The 19128-nt window shown below is 34.0% G+C and overlaps 1 protein-coding gene across 7 annotated transcripts in view; it reads right to left on the bottom strand.

The window, feature by feature from the left end:
• MKLN1 (muskelin 1) overlaps window positions 1–19128 on the bottom strand; it is a 386539-nt gene that overhangs the window by 120013 nt on the left and 247398 nt on the right. For 6 of the 7 annotated variants that reach the window (NM_001145354.2, XM_047420401.1, NM_001321316.2 and 3 more), the window contains one exon: window positions 1127–1196. In NM_001145354.2, the coding sequence (NP_001138826.1) occupies window positions 1127–1196 (70 nt within the window). Of the gene's footprint in view, window positions 1–1126; window positions 1197–2873; window positions 3879–19128 lie in introns of those variants that run through there. The other variant, XM_047420402.1, reaches the window with a different exon arrangement.

Raw genomic sequence — 19128 nt, 5'->3', positions numbered from 1 at the left:
ACCAGGCTAGAGTGCAGTTGTGCAATTTTGGCTCACTGAAACCTCTGCCTCCTGGGTTCAAACGATTCTCCTGCCTCAGCCTCCCGAGTAGCTGGGACTATAGGCGTGTGCCACCACACCCAGCTAATTTTTGTATTTTTAGTGGAGACAAGGTTTTACCATGTTGGCCAGGATGGTCTCAATCTCCTGACCTTGTGATCTGCCCTCCTCGGCCTCCCAAAGTGCTGGGATTACACGCATGAGCCACCGCGCCCAGCCATTTTTTTTTTTTTTTTTTAACATAGATCAAAGGTTTCTGTGTTGCCCAGGCTAGCCTCGAACGCCTAGCCTCGCCTCCTTATGCACCAGACAACAGGCCTGAGCCACTGCGGCTCCCAAAAATTATAAATATATATTCTTTAGACATGTCTTTTGCAATAAAACATGTAAACACCAGGGGATCCAAATAGGTAGGCAAAGAGAAAAAAAAATACATACATCATACATATATATATATATATATATATATATATATATATATATATTTCCATGAATTATACTACAATTAAAAAATAAAGTAAGTATTATTTACCCATTTGCTTTACCTAGCAGAGCATTAATTTCTTCAAGGATATGGACATACGTGTGCCTAATACATTATAAATATTAATGCTGAACGCATATAACTGAAAGACTGATTTTAAATTCAGTCAACCCCAGACACTACTTGCCAGGGAAAAGAAATTTAGCACATGGTCCTGATGCCATTTAAATATTATTTTAATATTAAGTATAATAATATTATAATAAAATAAACTATTTAAGTTTATTTTCCCCATAAGATAGTCATTGAGTCAGAGTTCAATTTACTAACATTTCCTTAAACATTTACAGAATAACTTGAGCGTAACTGTTCTGGTAGACAGAAGTAAAAGTCCATGTTTCATCAAATCTCACACTGCATTTGCCTATGAGATAAAAATTCTTCCAAAATTTAATAAACAAGCAAAAATAGAGAGAATAAAAATTTACCTCACAATCTCAAAAAGAGAATAAACTATTAGTAGATTCCAGATAACTAGTATCAATTGAGTGTTTATTTAAATGGTGACTTCTAAACAGCATTAAGGGATACATGTAATCTTACCTGGGGAGGATAGTTGCTCTCTGAAGACCATCTTGAAGATTGGTCATTTGGTTTGTCCACTAAAATGTTCCTGGAATAAAGAAAGTATTAAAAAATTAAGAGAACATGAATAGGCAAAAACAGGAATAATCTACCAGATGCTGAAATTATCATAAAGTTATGTAATGTTTGGAACTTGAATAAGAATAGAAAACAAAACAGAGTAAGAAAAGCACAGAAAGCTTCTAGTAGATATAAGATTTTAAAATATGACAAAGGTGGTATTTTCAACAACAGAGAAAAATCAAGACTTTTCATAAGGCACTTTTGTTTAAAATAAAAAGTTATATTAATACTTTACACTAAGTGACAAAATGAACCTTAGACATACATATTTAAGAATTTAAGGTAAAAATAGCTGGGTGCAGTGGCACACGTCTGTAACCTCAGCTACTTGGAGGAAGACTTGAGGCCCAGAGTTCAAGGCCACAGTGTGCTATGATGGATCATGTCTGTGAATAGCAACTCCAGCTTGGGCAACATAGCAAGACTCTGTCTTTAAAAAAAAAAAAAAAGACTTCAGGGTAAAAATAAAGCAATAAAATACCTAAAAATAAAATACCATATATACATATTACATGTAGCATGCATTATATTGCATGCAATCATATTGTTACATTATATATTACATATATCAAACATGCATCGTATAGAATATATATATTTTTTATACATATATAAAGTCCATCTTTGGAGTAAGATGCACTTTTAGGCATACCATCAAAAGCAGAACTGTGAGTGGAAAAGGAACTGATATAAGTAACTTTAGAAGACCGCTTTTTCACTGGAAACTGTAAGGCTAAAGGCAAGCAGAGCTATATACATAAACACTGCTTGATTTGGTAAAGTTGTTTTTCACAAGGAATATGGGTTAATTCCTATGTTACATACATACTGGGGTTGAACAAATAAGTAAATGGCTGGTAAATGTGGGAGCCAGGTTTCTCACTTTTGTAGGGGGATGTTACAGTTAGGCAAGGGGACGGAGGGCAGAAGGAACCCTGTGATACTGGATTAGAATCAGTGACATCAGTGCAAACTTGTGTTTACCGTAATATAATATAAATAATTATAGGGGTGTGTGTGCACAAACAGTATTTTCTAATTCTGTCCACTGAGGGGGACTAGAAGCAGTGACACACCAGTACCCAAAAACACACCCAGCACCGCACCCTGGTATTTCCACAATGGTATGTTTCCACATACCACTCTCCAATAAAAGAAAACAGGAGTAGCTGGAGAAATGGCTGATTCCAGAGCCAGGTAAGGGAATACAGAAGATTAACCTAGAGCATCTTACACAAGAAAAAAAGTGTTTTTTAAAAAAGGCAGAAGAAGGGAGCAGTATGGATCATGTCAAAGGGTCACAGAGAATGACAGGCCAATGCTAAAAAAATTTAAGTGGTAAAATACCCATGAGTCTATATTGATACAAATAACCCCAGCCTAACCAGCAGGAAAACATCAGAGGAAAGGTCAATGAAACAAATGAATAGTACTCCTCCAAACTCTCAATATAATAAAAAACAAGGAAAGACTGAGAAACTCACAGACCAGAGGAGAGTAATAAACATGACAACTAAATGTAATGTGGGATCTTGGATCAGAGAAAGAATACTTGTGGGAAAACTAGTGAAATCCAAATAAAATGTGGCATTTAGTTAATAGTAGTGTACCAATGTTGACATCTTAGTTGTGACAAACGTACCATGGTAATAATGCAGGATGTCAGCAACAAGGGAAAACTGCGTAAAGAACATATATAGTAACTATGCCATCTTTGCAACTTTTCCATAAACCTAAAATTATTCTGCAATAAAAATTCTATTTTTAAAAGTTAGATCTATACTGGCAAACAGAAGGTACTTAATAATTATAGACTTATTTATACCAACACAAATAAAGAGACTTATTATCAAAAATAGATTAATGAATTTTTTTAAAAAGCACAGTGTATGGAAAAGAACTGCCTTTACACACATGTTCCACAAAGGCAAAACATAAACACATAAAACAACTAAAAATCAAATTAACAGGCAAACAGCCAACTAGAAAAAATAAAGGCAAATAAAATACATTGGGCTAATTAAAATTTGAATATTTAAAGAGCACTTAAATATAAATACCCCATATGAAAACGGACAAAAAAAATCCAAAATCAATATTCAAAAATTGGAGATTAAGATAAACATATATATTGTCCCTATAAAATTAGTCCCACACCCTCAAAAATAACTACATTTTACAATTATAACAGCAGTTGTTGGCCAGGGCTGGTAAAATGTTACTCTTATATTTTGCTGATAGGAATGCAAATTAATGTAACTTTTCAGGAGAAAAATTTAATCGATAGCAAAAATATTTCAAATATGTACATCCTTTAAATAAAAATGATGACAACCACGACAATGACTGTGTTTGAGTCCCAGACACTCTTCTAAATGTTTTCTATGTATAAACCATTATCTTGGAAGTATACAAATTTAAGAAATTGAAACATACTGCAGGAAAAAGGTAAAAGAAAAAAGAAAAGAAAGAAGGTAGGGAAGGGAGCAAAGAAAGAAAAGAAAGAAAAAGAAAAAGAAAAGATTAATTGCCTAAACGTATACAGCTAAGTAAGGATTTGAACCCAAGGCAGTCAGTCTACAAAGTCCATGCTCTTAATCACCATATGCTAAAGCCTCAGAATTCTTTCACTTCTTAGAACTTTATCTAAAAAAAAAAAAAAAAAAACCTAGGGGATATAACTAATCCACATTCATCAAAGCACACTTTAGAAGAGCAAGCTGTAAATAAACTAACAATGGAGGATTAAATTATAACATGTCTGTACAGAATACCATGTAAATTATTATGTATTCTACAGCTTGACTTTAATGTCATAGGAAAATGTTCAATACATAGTAAGTGAAGGGGAAAAGTAGTTAACTGTGTATGTAAAGAATCAAGTGTTGCAAAGTAATAACATTCATAAACAGGGAGAAAAGACAAAGAACGTATACTAAGTTATTAATATAATTCTCAAAGGGAGATTACAAGTAATTTTTTTCTTTGTGCTTTTTTGTGTTTTTTCAAATTTTCTAAAATTAACACAAATTCCTTTCATATCACAAAAAAAGCTTTTTCCCAAAAATGAATTAGAAAACACAGAAGATTGAAGATATGAACTGAGTTTGAAAAGACTACAGGACAATTAAAAGCTAAAGAACTAGAATTTTTAAAAATCACACTGATATACATGTTATAAAGCATGAAGGAAAACCTAATACATTATAACTATGATACATTGGAACCACAAAAATCATGAAGTATAATAAATATGGGGAGGGGAATGTTAGATGTCATGGAAGTGAGGTAGTTCCTTCATCTTTCACAGTTCCTAGGAAAGAATAATGTTTCTGAAGTTGATAAAAAGAAAAAAAATTAATACTATTTAAAGTTTAAAATTAAACAAAGATAGAAATAAAAACGTACCACATATCTTCTAAATTATTTGAGACAGAAAATCAAGAAGGCAACAGGGAGAGACCCTGTCTCTAAAAAAGAAATTCGATGGTAACATAATTTGTCAGCTGTAATGAATCAAATAAAGCAAAAACCACAGTAAATATGAGAAGAAATTGATTCTAAAAATAGGAGATTAACAGCTCTCAGCATCTGGAAAATTAAGTGTATATATATATATATATGTTATATATGTCAAGTATAATGTAAAGTATTGGTAAGTAGTGGTAAAGAATAATGTTACTATGAAGAAAAGTATAGGAGAAACAGGCCTCAATAACATGAGGAAGAGAGCCGTGTCATAACCTGAAAAATGAGCAGATGGACCACTAAATGCAAAATCAAGGGGGCCAAACAGTTGCAATATGTTTTGGTCTTGTGAATTTTCACATGCCTATTAGATATGGCAATTGGCTATCTGGGGCTGAAATTCAAGGAAAATACCAGTGCTGAATAAAATATACTCTTCAGAGATGTCAATGTATCAATGCTATTTAAATCCGCAACATTAAGTGAGATGACTTAGGGAATGAAATAGAGCAGAAGAAAAGCTTAAGGACTGATTATGCTCTGGGAGTCCATCATTTAGGAGGTCCAGAAGAAAAGAATCAAGCAAAAGAAACCGAAGAATGCCAAAGATAAAGAAAATGAAAACCTAGAAAGTGTAAATACTAAGTGAAGACAGTATTTTAAGAAGAAAGAAAAGAAAAATTTTGCAAAATGCTGCTCAGAAGACAAGGACTGGGTGATACATCTTCATAGGCCTAAATGTTGCCATATACAAGGTACTTAATAAATATCTGATAATGATATGAACAAATAAATAACACAAAAAAGAAAAAAATTAAAGTAGACCCACCAAAGGATACAGTACATTAATCCCACTGATTACCTGTAACTTAAAGCTCATACTAAATTGAAAGGAAAATTAAAAAGAAATAAAATACAGACCAGAAACGGAGTGAGGTTAGCCTAGGGGGTTTGGAAAGATAGAAGCTTGAAGATACTCCTGCTGATCTCCAGTCCCAGCACTAAGCCAACTAAGTAACTCTCCTGAGCCCACCAGGTTACAGAGGCCAGGCTCAGATCTTTAAGAATCTTACAAAAGCTTGGCCCTAGCAGAAGAACCATAAATTCCTTGAATACTTCTCTCCCTAAGAGTCAGGCATCAACTGCATAAGTATTGCTGTGACAATCTGCTATCTCCCTACCCCACTAAGACCTTCAAGAGAAGTAACCTGCCCTAAAGGTGAGAAGAACTTGCCCTGTCAGTTGAAGCCATCTAATTGCTGAGGGGTGTCTCCTGGTGACCCACAGAAACCTAACACAGGAAGTGGTATACCAAAACCCATAAGACAAGCATTGCTGACTGCCAACTATTTGAGGTATGCGAAATTTTACCCAAGGAGTATACAATGTAAAAAGTTTGTATGGAAAAAATAAACATACAAAAAGGGTTAAGAAAACTTACTAAAAAAAAAAAAAAGAATAGTGACAGGAAATCATCTTATCACTTTTAAAACACTTTTTAAAAGTAAGAATTAAAGACTTTAAAAAAGATTCCTTAAAAAAAAAAAAAACACTTTAAATCCGCCATAATTATAAACAGAAAGGACTGGAATAGGAAAAAAACAATAGCTCAGAGAAACACAAACCCAGAAACTGAGTCCAGTGTAGATGGAAATTTAGTATCAGATAAAGGTGATATTTTAATTCAGCAGGAAATGATAATTCATTTATTAAATGATGCACAACTGAATATCCATCAGAAGAAAGTTAACTCCTGTCTAATATCATACAAAAGTAATCTCATGGCTGGGCACCGTGGCTCACGCCTGTAATCCCAACACTTTGGAAGGCCGAAGCCGGCGGATCACCTGAGGTCAGGAGTTTGAGACCAGCCTGGCTAACATGGTGAAACCCCGTTAATACTAAAAATACAAAAAATTAGCCAGGCATGGTGGCACGTGCCCGTAATCCCAGCTACCTGGGAGGCTGAGGCAGGAGAATTGCTTGAACCCGGGAGGCAGAGGTTGCAGTGAGCCGAGATCACACAATCGCACTCCAGCTTGGGCAGCAAGACCAAAACTCTGTCTCAACAACAACAACAAAAAGTAATCTCAATTAAAGATCTAAACATACACATATACATAAAAACCCTAGGGGAAAAATGTAGGGGCCAATATGTATCTTTTTGCCAAGAAACACATAATCTGTAAAACAAAAAGTAACTATTTGATTATATTAAAACTTTCAAATTTTGTGTTATAAAAAGTGCCATGAAGAAAAACAGGAGACAAACAATAGTTTGGACAAAATTCTCTGCAACTCATATGACTAATAAAGAATTCATATCTAGAGTATGCAAAATGCTGTTACACTTGATAAGAATAAGATGAACAACAGAACTGAAAATGAGCAGAATGCAAGTCACTGAAGAGTCATTCAAATAGCCAATAAACTATGACCAAAAAAAATTTCTCAAAATCCCTGTGTATTGTCTGTGTCATGGAAAAAGAAATTAAAATAGTAAGATATCCCTTTTTACCCATCAAATTGATGAAATTAATTCCTAATTATCAGAAAATTAGGGAGAAAAGATGAACATGTGCATTATCCTAGCCTTTATGGAAAGTAAACATGTAAAATTTATTAAAATCTAAAATGTACATATTCTTTCACCTAGAACTCTCATTTCAAAATCCATCCCACAGAAATAAAATCTCCAGTACGTAAGGACATATGATAGAGATGTTTGATGCCGCATTTTTTGAAGTAGCAAGGAAATGATCAAATAAATTATAGAACATACATCATGGAACTTTATACTATCATTATAAAACACTTAAAGGGATTTCTACTATGCAAGATACAAAGAAGCATGTATGATTCTATTCTTATTTTAAAAACCTGTTATATACAGATATGTGTGTGTGTGTGTGTGTGTGTGATTATACAGATAAGCAGGTATATGATCCAATTTACATCAAATTATATAAAGTAAGTACAAATGGTAGCCAAAAATGAGGCATAAATACCATTAAGAGATTTTACTTATTTTCTTGTTATTTGTCATATTATTCATACATAAAATAATATATAAGCATATATTATTTATCAAAACAGTAAAAAGTTATTGTTGAAAATAATAGTTGACATGACAGCAAACTTTCTGCATTTATAGCAAACTGACTTGCAATCTGATATGGTTTGACTCTGTGTCCCCGCCCAAATCTCATGTTGAATTTTAATTCCAAATGTTGGAGGAGGTACTTGTTAGGAGGTGATTGGATCATGGGGGGGCGAATTTCCCCCATGCTGTTCTTGTCAAAGTGAGTGACTTCTCACAAGATCTGATGTTTTAAAAGTGTGTGGCACTTCCCCACTCATTCTCTTTCTCTCCTGCTGCCATGAGAAGAAGGTGTTTGCTTCCCCTTTGCCTTCTGCCATGACTGTAAGTTTCCTGAGGCCTCCCAGTCATGCTTCCTATCAAGCCTACAGACCTGTGAGTCAGTTAAACTTCTTTTCTTCATAAATCACCCAGCCTCAGGTAGTTCTTTATAACAGTGTGAGAACGTACTAACACACCATCAGAAAATCAAATCAGGCTCTACTTTTCCATCATTTTAAAGACATAGAAAAAGACAGCAAAGAAACTAATAAAAGCTCATTGTCTTTTAAAATTTTTAAATAATGGATCTTATTTCAAAACATAAAGTAAGATCTAGACTGTTTTTAATTCTTCCTCCTATGATGTTGCTCCCCTCCACCCATTTCCACTCTCCTGCAAGGCAAAGGAGAATCCAGTTTAGGGTAGTGACTGCTAACATCAGCCCCTCAGCAGTGGTAATAGAGCCTATTGCCATAGTAGTATTCTATAAAACATATTCATTATTATCCTCCCTTGTATTACTTTCCAAAGACTTATACAATCTACCATCACTAGTGGTATATATAGCCTATCCTCCTTTAATTTTCAGGACTAAGTGAGAGATGTTAACCTCTTATACTACATATGTCAATCATGATATCAATTCAACATCCCTTGTTTTTAAAAGCGGAATACCCCATCCACAGCCTCTACTGAAGGAGCAATCATAGGCAATATGCTTTGTACATGTGATTTTTACTTATGAGTATTTCAATGACTGCTAATCTTGGCTGGCTATCTCCTGTGACAGGAGATGGGATGGGCCAGTATAGAAATAAAATTCTAAGACAAAGAATATATAAGTAAACAGAACTAATGAAACAGAGAACAGAGATACCAGGTAAGAATAATAAAAGAGAAATAAGGCAGTCAGTAGCATAATAAAAATGAAGCAGATGTAGAACAGAAGGAGGGGTATCTTGAGAGACCATGCACTAGAGGGAATAAGAAAGAATAGAAACTGGCTTTTTAGTTCCACTTGCCAGGAGTCACTGATCTGGCAACCAAAGCGATTGTGACCACAACACTCTTCTAGATACCCATGACTTTCATTTATACTAACATCTAGAAAAATAGAAAATACATTTTATAAGACACAATTCGGTATCAACTATATGAGTCAAATAATAAAGATTTGCCAACTAGAGTTAAATTAAATATCTGCCATTTAAAAATATTTAAAATGCAAATAATAACTGAGAACTGGTTAAGAAGAATTGAAAATAGAGTTGGGCTGAAGACTAAAATGGCTACCTATTTCCATCAGGTTAGTTTAATATTAAAATGTACATTTTCATTCTTACCAATGCTGGATGAAAACTGAAAGCAATAAAAATGAATAACATTTTAAGTTTCTCATACAAAGACTACAAAACAAAAGCAAGACTATGAGTAATTAAATTCTTCTATGAGAACTTTAAAAATTTATAATGAAACACAAATGGGTAACTGAAAAATGGGATACAGTTTTAATTTTTCCCAAGTTATATGTCTTTATTTTTGCATATTTTAAAATCTACTATATCTGTATATACTACCAATTAAATGTCAGTAACAAACGATTACAATTCACCATGAGAAGATAATTTATTTGACATTTTAGGTTTTAATTCAAGTCAGCAAATTAAAAACCTTTCTTGATTACATATGCTTAAACCCTAAGCTTGCTTAGCAATATACCTTTCAAATTACTACTCTTGTTTTGTTTTGAGATGGAGTTTCACTCTGTCGCCCAGGCTGGAGTGCAGTGGTGCAATCTTAGCTCACTGCAACATCCACCTCCCAGGTTCATGCAATTCTCCTGCCTCAGCCTCCAGAGTAGCTGGGATTACAGGTGCCTGCCACCATGCCCGGCTAGTTTTTGTATTTTTAGTAGAGACGGGGATTTCACCATGTTGGCCAGGCTAGTCTCGAACTCCTGACCTCAAGTGATCTTGCCGCCTCAGCCTCCCAAAGTGCTGGGATTACAGGCATGAGCCACCACACCCAGCCCTAAATTACTACTCTTAAGAATACTTAAATATAACAGCAGCAATTGGGCAAAAAATTGAGCATTTAACATTTTTTCTGATAAGGGCTGGTCAGGATGCTTATCAGTAAGCCCCGCCAACTTTAAATTGGAAGTTTTAGATACTTTAAAGCCACCTCTAATTTTTATATGAAGAAAAGTCAGTCAAGCAGAGTATTTTAAAAAGTATAAAAGGATGTTTTTCCTTTGGTAGTTTAAAAACATCCTTCTAAAGCCTGCCTTTTTGTTGAATCATATGATAAAATGGATCTGAAAAAAAATCAACTTCAACTAGAAATCTTGAGATTTTGGAGCTTGGTCACTAATTGGTTAGATAATCCATTACATAATCTCTCAGGACTTGAATTATTTTATCTGCAGTATAAAGGGAAAGGTTTAATTCTTTAGTCTCAAATTTCTTTCAGCTGTAATCAGGGGAGTTGAATTGCACAATTCTAGGAAACACTACTCACGAAGGCCAAGTTAACATTCTGCATTTCTATGAAGAGCTTTCACACCCTTCATTCGAAGTATCATGTATACTCTTGCTCCTACACAAAAGTCAGTAATAACAATCAATCAAACCATTATAATAGAGCTTCCACTACATGTGAACACTCTGCTGGGGTAATACCGTATCAGAACAAGAATGGTTATCTGTGGCCAAGGGGATCACAAAGTATTTTTTAAACATAAAAAAAAACACACATAAAATTTAAGAGACAGACAAAAAAAGTATACAATAAAGGCCACATACCTACGATCATCTGATCTTCAACAAAGCTGATGAAAACAAGCAATGGGGAAAAGACTCCCCTTCCCATAAATGATGTTGGGGTAACTGGCTAGCCATATGCAAAAGATCGAGGCTGGACTCCCTTCCTCACATCATATACAAAAATCAACTCGAGATAGATTAAAGACTTAAATGTAAAACCCAAAGCTATAAAAACGCTGGAAGATAACCTAGGCAATACCACCCTGGACGTAAGAACAGGCAAAGATTTCAAGACAAATAAAAAACAATTGCAACAAAAACAAAAATTGACAAGTGGGATCTAATTAAACTTAAGAGCTTCTGCACAGCAAAAGAAACTATCAACAGAGTAAACAGACAACCTACAGAATGGGAGAAAATATTTGCAAACTATGTATCTGACAAAGGTCTAATATACAGCATCTATAAGGAACTTAAATTTACAAGAGAAAACCCAGTTAAAAAGTAGGCAAAGGATATGAACAGACACTTTTGAAAGAAAACATACATGACAACCAACAAGCATATGAGAAAAATCTCAGTATCACCGATCATTAGAGAAATGCAAATCAAAACCACAATGAGATACCATCTCACACCAGTCAGAATGGCTATTACTAAAGTCAAAAATGACAGATGGGGTTAAGGTTACAGAGAAAAGGGAACACACTGTTAGTGGGAGTGTAAATTAGTTCAACCATTGTGGAAAGCAGTATGGCAATTCCTCAAATAGCTAAAAGTAGAACTGCCATTCAACCCAGCAATCCCATTATTGGGGAGGTACCCAGAGGAATAGAAATCATTTTACCGTAAAGTACCGTAAAGACACATGCACACAAATGTTCACTGCAGCACTATGAACAACAGTAAAGACATGGAGTCAACCTAAATGTCCACCAGTGACAGATTAGATAAAGAAAATGTGGTACATATGCACCATGGAATACTATGCAACCATAAAAAAAACGAGATCATTTCTTTTGTGGGAACATGGATGCATCTGGAGACTATTATCCTCAGCACAACTACCGTATGTTCTCATTTATAAGTGGGAGCTAAATCATGAGAACTTATGAACACAAAGAAGCAAACAACAGACACTTGGGACTACTTGAGGGTGGAGGGTGGGAGGAATGAGAAGAGCAGAAAAGAGAAAAGATCACTACTGGGTACTAGGCTTAATACCTGGGTGATGAAACAATCTGTACAACAAGCCCCCATAACACAACTATGTAAAAACCTTCACGTATGCCCTGAACCTAAAATAAATGTTTAAAAAAAAAAAAACCAAAGTCCTTATACATTAGGAAATTCTGATACGGAACACATTTAAATACCCAAGATTAATCAGTTTGGTAAAAACTTGGGGCATTCTCTCCCAATATTCGAGAAATATCTTTATCTACACACACAGGAAGTCTAGAAAGTTTTTGATTATAGCTACAAATGTGTGGGAAGGGGGAATGCTGATAATTTTTCAAGGCTTTCTGATTTAAAATCTAAGAACATTGTATTTTGAAAGGATAAGTACATGTAAATAAATAAACAAACGTTTTTTTCTTAAAAGACTATAATTCAAAATGCAGTAAGGATCAACTCTTAAATCAATTTTTAATATCTCCAGCTATAAAGAGTATACTATAAAAATGATAGCTTTCTCCCAAATCACTTAGACTTACATATACTGCAGAGGTTTAGACTCACAAGTATTTCCCAATTTTAAGACAACAGCATAGTAAGAAGGGGATTTTACTATTTGTTGGAGTTACTTATCAAACAAATATTTACTGAGTCCTAGTCTTGTGCTAGACAATGTGATAGGCTCTGGGAACACCATGGTATATGAGATAGGATCTCCAGTTGTGAGGCTAACATTCAAATGACAAGCAGCAGAAAATAAACAAGTAGAATTGTAAACATGGTAATTACAGACTGTGATAAGTGCTACAAAAGAAATAAACGGGGTGGTGACACGGCAGGACAGTTTTTTTTTTTTCCCAGGGATGGTACAAAAAAAGAAAAAAATCACCTCTCTGAAAATATTTTAATTATGCTAATCAGAAGGAACCACTCATGTAAAAATAAAGAAAAAGTCTATTCTTCACAAAGGAACAAACAAGTTCAAATGCTGGTGATGGGAAAGAAAATCTGAGAACTAAGTAAAGTTAGATAACACATCCTTCTCAGGCTCCAAGATATAGGTAAATGCAGAGATAACTGGAAAACTGAGAGAGGCAGATTCTACACTCTAAGAGGACTGTAGAAGTATCCTACCAACAAATACTCTCTTACTTTCATGAAAACAGAGACCCATTCTGGAGAAATTGCAAGAAACAGAAATAGACCTAAGCAAAGCAAAAAGAATGAGAACCCTCCAGGAGAGATAAGATTCACATTCTAGGTGGGCAGGAGGTCCAAGTGACACAGATCTCAGAAAGTTCCACAACAGTAAAATACATTTAAAGGGGTCTATTCAGAAAGCAAAATACCTGGAAAACATAAAGGTGAAAAGCTTTACTACATCTCAAAAGTGCAATTAAAAAAAAAATTCACAAATGCGGCCTGGAGCCACACAGCTCAAAAACTGCACTGGTCTATCCCCTCCTCCTACAGAAGTTCTTCCTTCTAAAACTACAGGAAAACCAACTTGTTTAAACAATAGAAAATAAAATAAAAATCCACTCTAAGATGTTGTAATAGATAAAAATACTTGAGAAAAATGTGGCCACGAAGATGAAAATTGTTAATTATTTCAAAATGACCTAAATGAAATTAAGAAAATAGTTTATATTTTTATTATCATTACTTTTATTAAGAAGCAATAATTCAAAATTAAAACAGCTCAAAAATAGTATGGCCAGAATGACAGGAAGAGCTGATAAGACTTACATATAAGTGAGAAGAGTTTTTTTTTCAGAAACAAGGACTAAATTTTTAAAAATCCTCCCCCAAAAAATACACAGTTTGAAATATCTGTCTAGAGTATCTTTCAAAAACACAGACTAAATTTTAAAAGTTCCTCCCAAAAAAGATACCGCTAAAATAGCCCAGTAAGGGAAAAGAGGTTGGAAAGTGATGAAAATAATGAAACAGATACAAAAGACAGCAACTGTCTATAACGTAACATAATTGGACTCGACAAAAAAATATATAATTGGAACTAGACAGATACATCAAACTGTGCTTCAAGCAAATCTTTCTAAAATAAAAGTTGAATCTACACACTCAAAGAATACACGGTATGCTAGGGAAATTCAACTCAATATTCCTAGTACAAACTATGCAGACTTTGAAGACTTTTTTTAAAAACTTCCTTGAGCTTCCAGATAGAAATATCAAGTCACTCATAAAATTAAGAAAAGTTTATTGTCAAAAAAACCTTACAACAGCTACAACAGTCATGAACCGCATTATGTTTCTGTCAATAACAGACCACATGTAAGATGCTGGCCCCATGAGATTATAATAGAGCTATATAATGGAGTACGCTATACTATTTAAGTTTGTGTAAGTACACTCCATAGTTCACTAATGACGAAACCACCTAAAGAGACACTTCTCAGAACACATCCCAGTCGTTAAGCAACACGTGACTGTATTTCATACCCAAATACAATAAACAGGTATTTTATACTCAAAATAAAATAAAAAATTTTAAGAAAATCAAGTACAAAAAATGTGAGCCTAGGACTGTATATATAATCAAACTATCTTTCAAGTTTAAAGGCATAGTTAACAAAGCGTTCCTTGAGCCATTCTTTCTGAGAAAACTACTAATGAATAAACTATACATACTGAAGAAATGATTTGAGAAGCTTCAGCATAAAATCTGGTTACATGAAATAAAAATATTTAACCACCGAACTAAAACTAACCATGAAGATAAGAATGTCATACATAACAGAATATAAATGTGTGGTGCAACAATGTAGAAAAGATAGAGCTAACCAAAAAAAAATGAGAGAAGAATGGAGAATAAGTGGAATTTGGAATATACTTACTGACTGCCTCACAAGTATAAAATGAAAGGAAAAGATCATCACTTAAGATCAGATGTTGGGAGAGTGAGGAAAGAAAGTTAGAAAAAGTTCTTAGTTAACTTCCTCAGAGAGATTTAAGTGTTAAAGGAACTGGATTGAAGGGAACCAAAAAAAAAAAAAGAAAGCCAGAAAAAAGAAACAAAAAACTGGAATGCATGCTAAATAAGGCAAGAAAAAACAGTGTGAAAAGACAAAGCAAGCCAGACTCAGATATGATCTAGATTTTGATACGAGCAGATAGTGAATGTAAAATAACTACAATTAACATTTTAAGGCCACTAATGGAAAATGTAGACAACATGCAAGATAGATGGGTAATGTACCATGGAAAGAATCAGTGAGCTTAAAGATATGACAGCTGAAAGTTCCCAAACTGAAAAAAGAAAATAAAGAAAAAAAAGAAACAATATCCAAAAACTATTTTTTAAAATAAAAAAGCTATAACAGATGCATAACTGCAATATGAGAAGGGAAAGAAAGGAGCAGAAGAAATATTTGAAGTAATAATGGCTGGAATTTTCCAAAATTAATGATAGGCACCAAACCACTGACCAGAGAAAACCCAGCAGGAAGCTCAGAGAAAACCAAGCAGGAAATATCAAAAAAATTTATAAGTTGGAGTATCATATTCAAACTGCAGAAAACCAAAGACAAGGGAAAAAAAACTCCTCATTTATAGAGAAACAAGGAGAAGAATTACATTGGATTTCTCATCAGAAACTATGCAAGCAAGAAAAGAGTGGGAACGAAATACTTGAAGTGCCAGGGAAAAAAATAAAAACAAAAACACTAACCTAGACATCTATATCCAGTGAAATTATCCTTTAAAAGTGAAGGAGAAATAAATACTTCCTAAAACAAAAACTAAAGGAATTTGTTACCAGTAGACATGCCTTGCAGAAATGTTAAAAGCAGTTCTTCAGCAAGAACAGCTATATAGGTTACAACATTGATGTACATAAAGAAAGAGGGTCAGAGAAGGATTAAATGAAGATAAAATTAAAACATGTATTTTTTACTCTTAAACTGATCTAACAAATAACTGTTCAAAGTAACAATGTTAACAATATATTGAGTGATTATGGCATGTAGATAAATGAGTAAGAACAACATTATAAGGGATACAAGAGAAGAGTAGGAAATACTCTGATATTAGGTACATGGCACATGAAATAGTACACTGTTATTTAAAGCTGGACTTAGTTTAGATGCACATAAATATTACAAATTCTAGGACAACCACTAAAAACAAGTTAAAAAGAAGTGTAACTGATATGCTAAGAGATGAGAAAACAAAATCACAATCAATGTCCATTTTAAATCAGAGAAGATGGAAAAAGGGGAAGAGAAGAAACAAAGAACAAGTACAGTAAATAGAAAACAGTTACAAATATGGTAGATATCAATCCAATTATATCAACAATCAATTTGTATGTGAATGGTCTAAAGAAACTAATTAGAAGACAGGCTGTTAGAGTAGATAAAAAAAACAAAGTCCAAATATGTTGTCTACCAGAAACCCCCATAAAGATACAAATAGGTGAATATAAAGAAATGGAAAAAGACATACCATTCTTTAAATAGAAAACTGGAATAGCTATATTAATTAATATCAGACAAAGCAAACATAAGATCAAGGAAAATCATCAGCAAAAAAGAGAGCCATTGGCCAGAAGCAGTGGCTCATGCCTGTAATCCCAGCACTTTGGGAGGCCGAGGCGGGTGGATCATTTGAAGTCAGGAGTTCAAGACCAGCCTCGCCAACATGGTAAAAAAGTACATGTTTTAATTTTACCTCTACTAAAAATACAAAAATTAGCTAGGCGTGGTGGTGCAGGCCTGTAATCCCAGCTACTCAGGAGGCTGAGGCAGGAGAATTGCTTGAGCCTGGGAGGTAGAGGTTGCAGTGAACTGAGATCACAACACTGCACTCCAGTCTGGGTGACAGAGTGAAACCCTGTCTCAAAAAATAAAAAAAAAAATAAAAGAGGCATTAAATAATAATAAAAACTGTCAATTCTCCAAGAAGACATAACAATCCTTAAGGTGTCTGTACCAAACAAAAGCGTGTCAAAATACTTGAGAGAGAAACTGACAGAAGTTCAAGAAGCATTATTATAATTGGACACATCAATATCCCTGTCAGTAATAGACAGACTCAGCAGGCAGAAGCTCAGAATACCCTTGAACTGAAGAGCATCATCAATCAACTAGATCTAACTGACTTTGCAGAGTATTTCACCCAATAACAGCAGAATACGTATTCTTCTCAAGCTCACACAAGGATATTCACCAAGGAAGATGATAAAATATATGTTAGTAATGTAAAAGAGTTGAAGATTACACAAAGTATGCTCTCAGACCACAATGGAATTAAACTAGAAGTCATTCACAGATAGCTGGAAAATCCCAAAATATTTGGTGTAAACATACTTCCAAATGATACATGGGTCAAAGCAGTCTCCAGATAAATTTAAAAATATTCTGAACAAAGTGAAACTAAGAACAAAACATCAAAACTTGTGGGATACAGTGAAAGGAATGCTTAGAAGGAAATTTACGGCATTGAAAGCATTTTATTAAGTCAAAACAACTTAAAGTCAATCACTTAAGCTTCCACCCTAGGAAACTAGAGAAAAGCAACTGAAGCATAAACAAAGCAGAAAAAATAAATAAATAAATAAATCTTAGGGCAAAAATCAATGAAACTGAAAACAGGAAATGCGTAGAATAAAGCAAGAAACCAAAAGCTGGCTACCTGAAAAGACCAATAAAACTGACAAAACTCTAGCTAGGCTAACAAAGAAAAAAACAGAGAAGACACAAATTACCAATATTAGAAATGAAAATGAGTGATCACTATTGATCACTTGGATATTAAACAGATAATAAAATGAACAACTCTATTCCCATAAAACTGATAACATAAATGAAATGGACCAATTCCTTAAAAGATACAAACTACCAAAAGTCGAGAAAGCGACCTTCTGAATATGCCAGTAACTATTAATGAAACTGAATTAGTAATTAATAATCTTCCAAAAAGAAAATCTCCAGGCCCAGATGGTTTCACTGGTGAATTCTACCAAACATTTAAAGAAAACAATGATACCAATGCTCTAGAATGTCTTTCAGAAAAGAATAGCAGAGGAAACACTTCCTAATGCTTTCTACGAGACCAGCATTAACCTAATACAAAAACCAGATAAAGACATCACTAAAAGAAAACCTCCAGCCAATCTCTTATGAATATGGATGCAAAAATAATCTCAAAAAATATTAGCAAATCAAATTTAAAAATGTATACAAATAATTACACACCACAATAAAACGTACTTATTACAGGGCTATTTCAATATCCCAAAATCAATTAATGTATTACACATCAATAGGCTAAAGAAGAAAGTCATATGATCATATCAACAGATGCAGAGAAAGCATTTCACAGAATCCAACACATATTCATGATTAAAAATCTTAGCTAACTAGGAATTCAGGCAGCCCTCTTCAATTTGATAAAGAGTACCTACAAAACACCTACAACTAACATCATATTTAATGGTGAGAAACTAGATGTTTTACCCCAAGACTGGGAATAAGGCAATTCTATTCAATACTATCCTGGAAATGCTAGCTAAATCCAATAAGATAAGCGGGGGAAAAAAACAGTCTACACATTGAGAAGGAAATAATACTGTCATCATTCACAGATGACAGGACTGCCTATACAGAAAATCCCAAAGAACTGATGAACTCCTGGAAATAATGAATGATTACAGCAAGGTTTCAGGATATAAGGTTAATGAGAGGGACTAAAAGAAACAAAACCCCCGAAGCAGGACATCTAGCACCCAGATTTTGTTTTTTTATGCCTTTCTCCAATAAAAGGAACAACAGTTCTATGGAGAAATGGGGCAGAAAATAAACAAGATGAGCCTGGAGCATCCTGTAATACCAGAAATTAAGAAAGCACTAAAATGAAAAACAAAACAAAACAAAAATGATGGAAGTTATGTCAAAGGCGCACATGAGTCAACTGAAAGAGCTTCCAACAGCCAAAGCCGGAACATTTTGAGCAACAAAATAAATAAAGTAGTACTGGATTATAATAAAGTATAAAATAAGTATCTGAGTCCACATGATACAAATAAATTATTGGATAAATTAGTATGGCGGAAGAGACAAATCTCCCATAAAGAAGAATTCCTAAGAAATTATGTAATA

Source organism: Homo sapiens, chromosome 7 (genome assembly GCF_000001405.40).
Source record: "Homo sapiens chromosome 7, GRCh38.p14 Primary Assembly".
NCBI lineage: Eukaryota > Metazoa > Chordata > Mammalia > Primates > Hominidae > Homo > Homo sapiens.
This window is presented reverse-complemented; position numbering and strand designations above follow the sequence as displayed.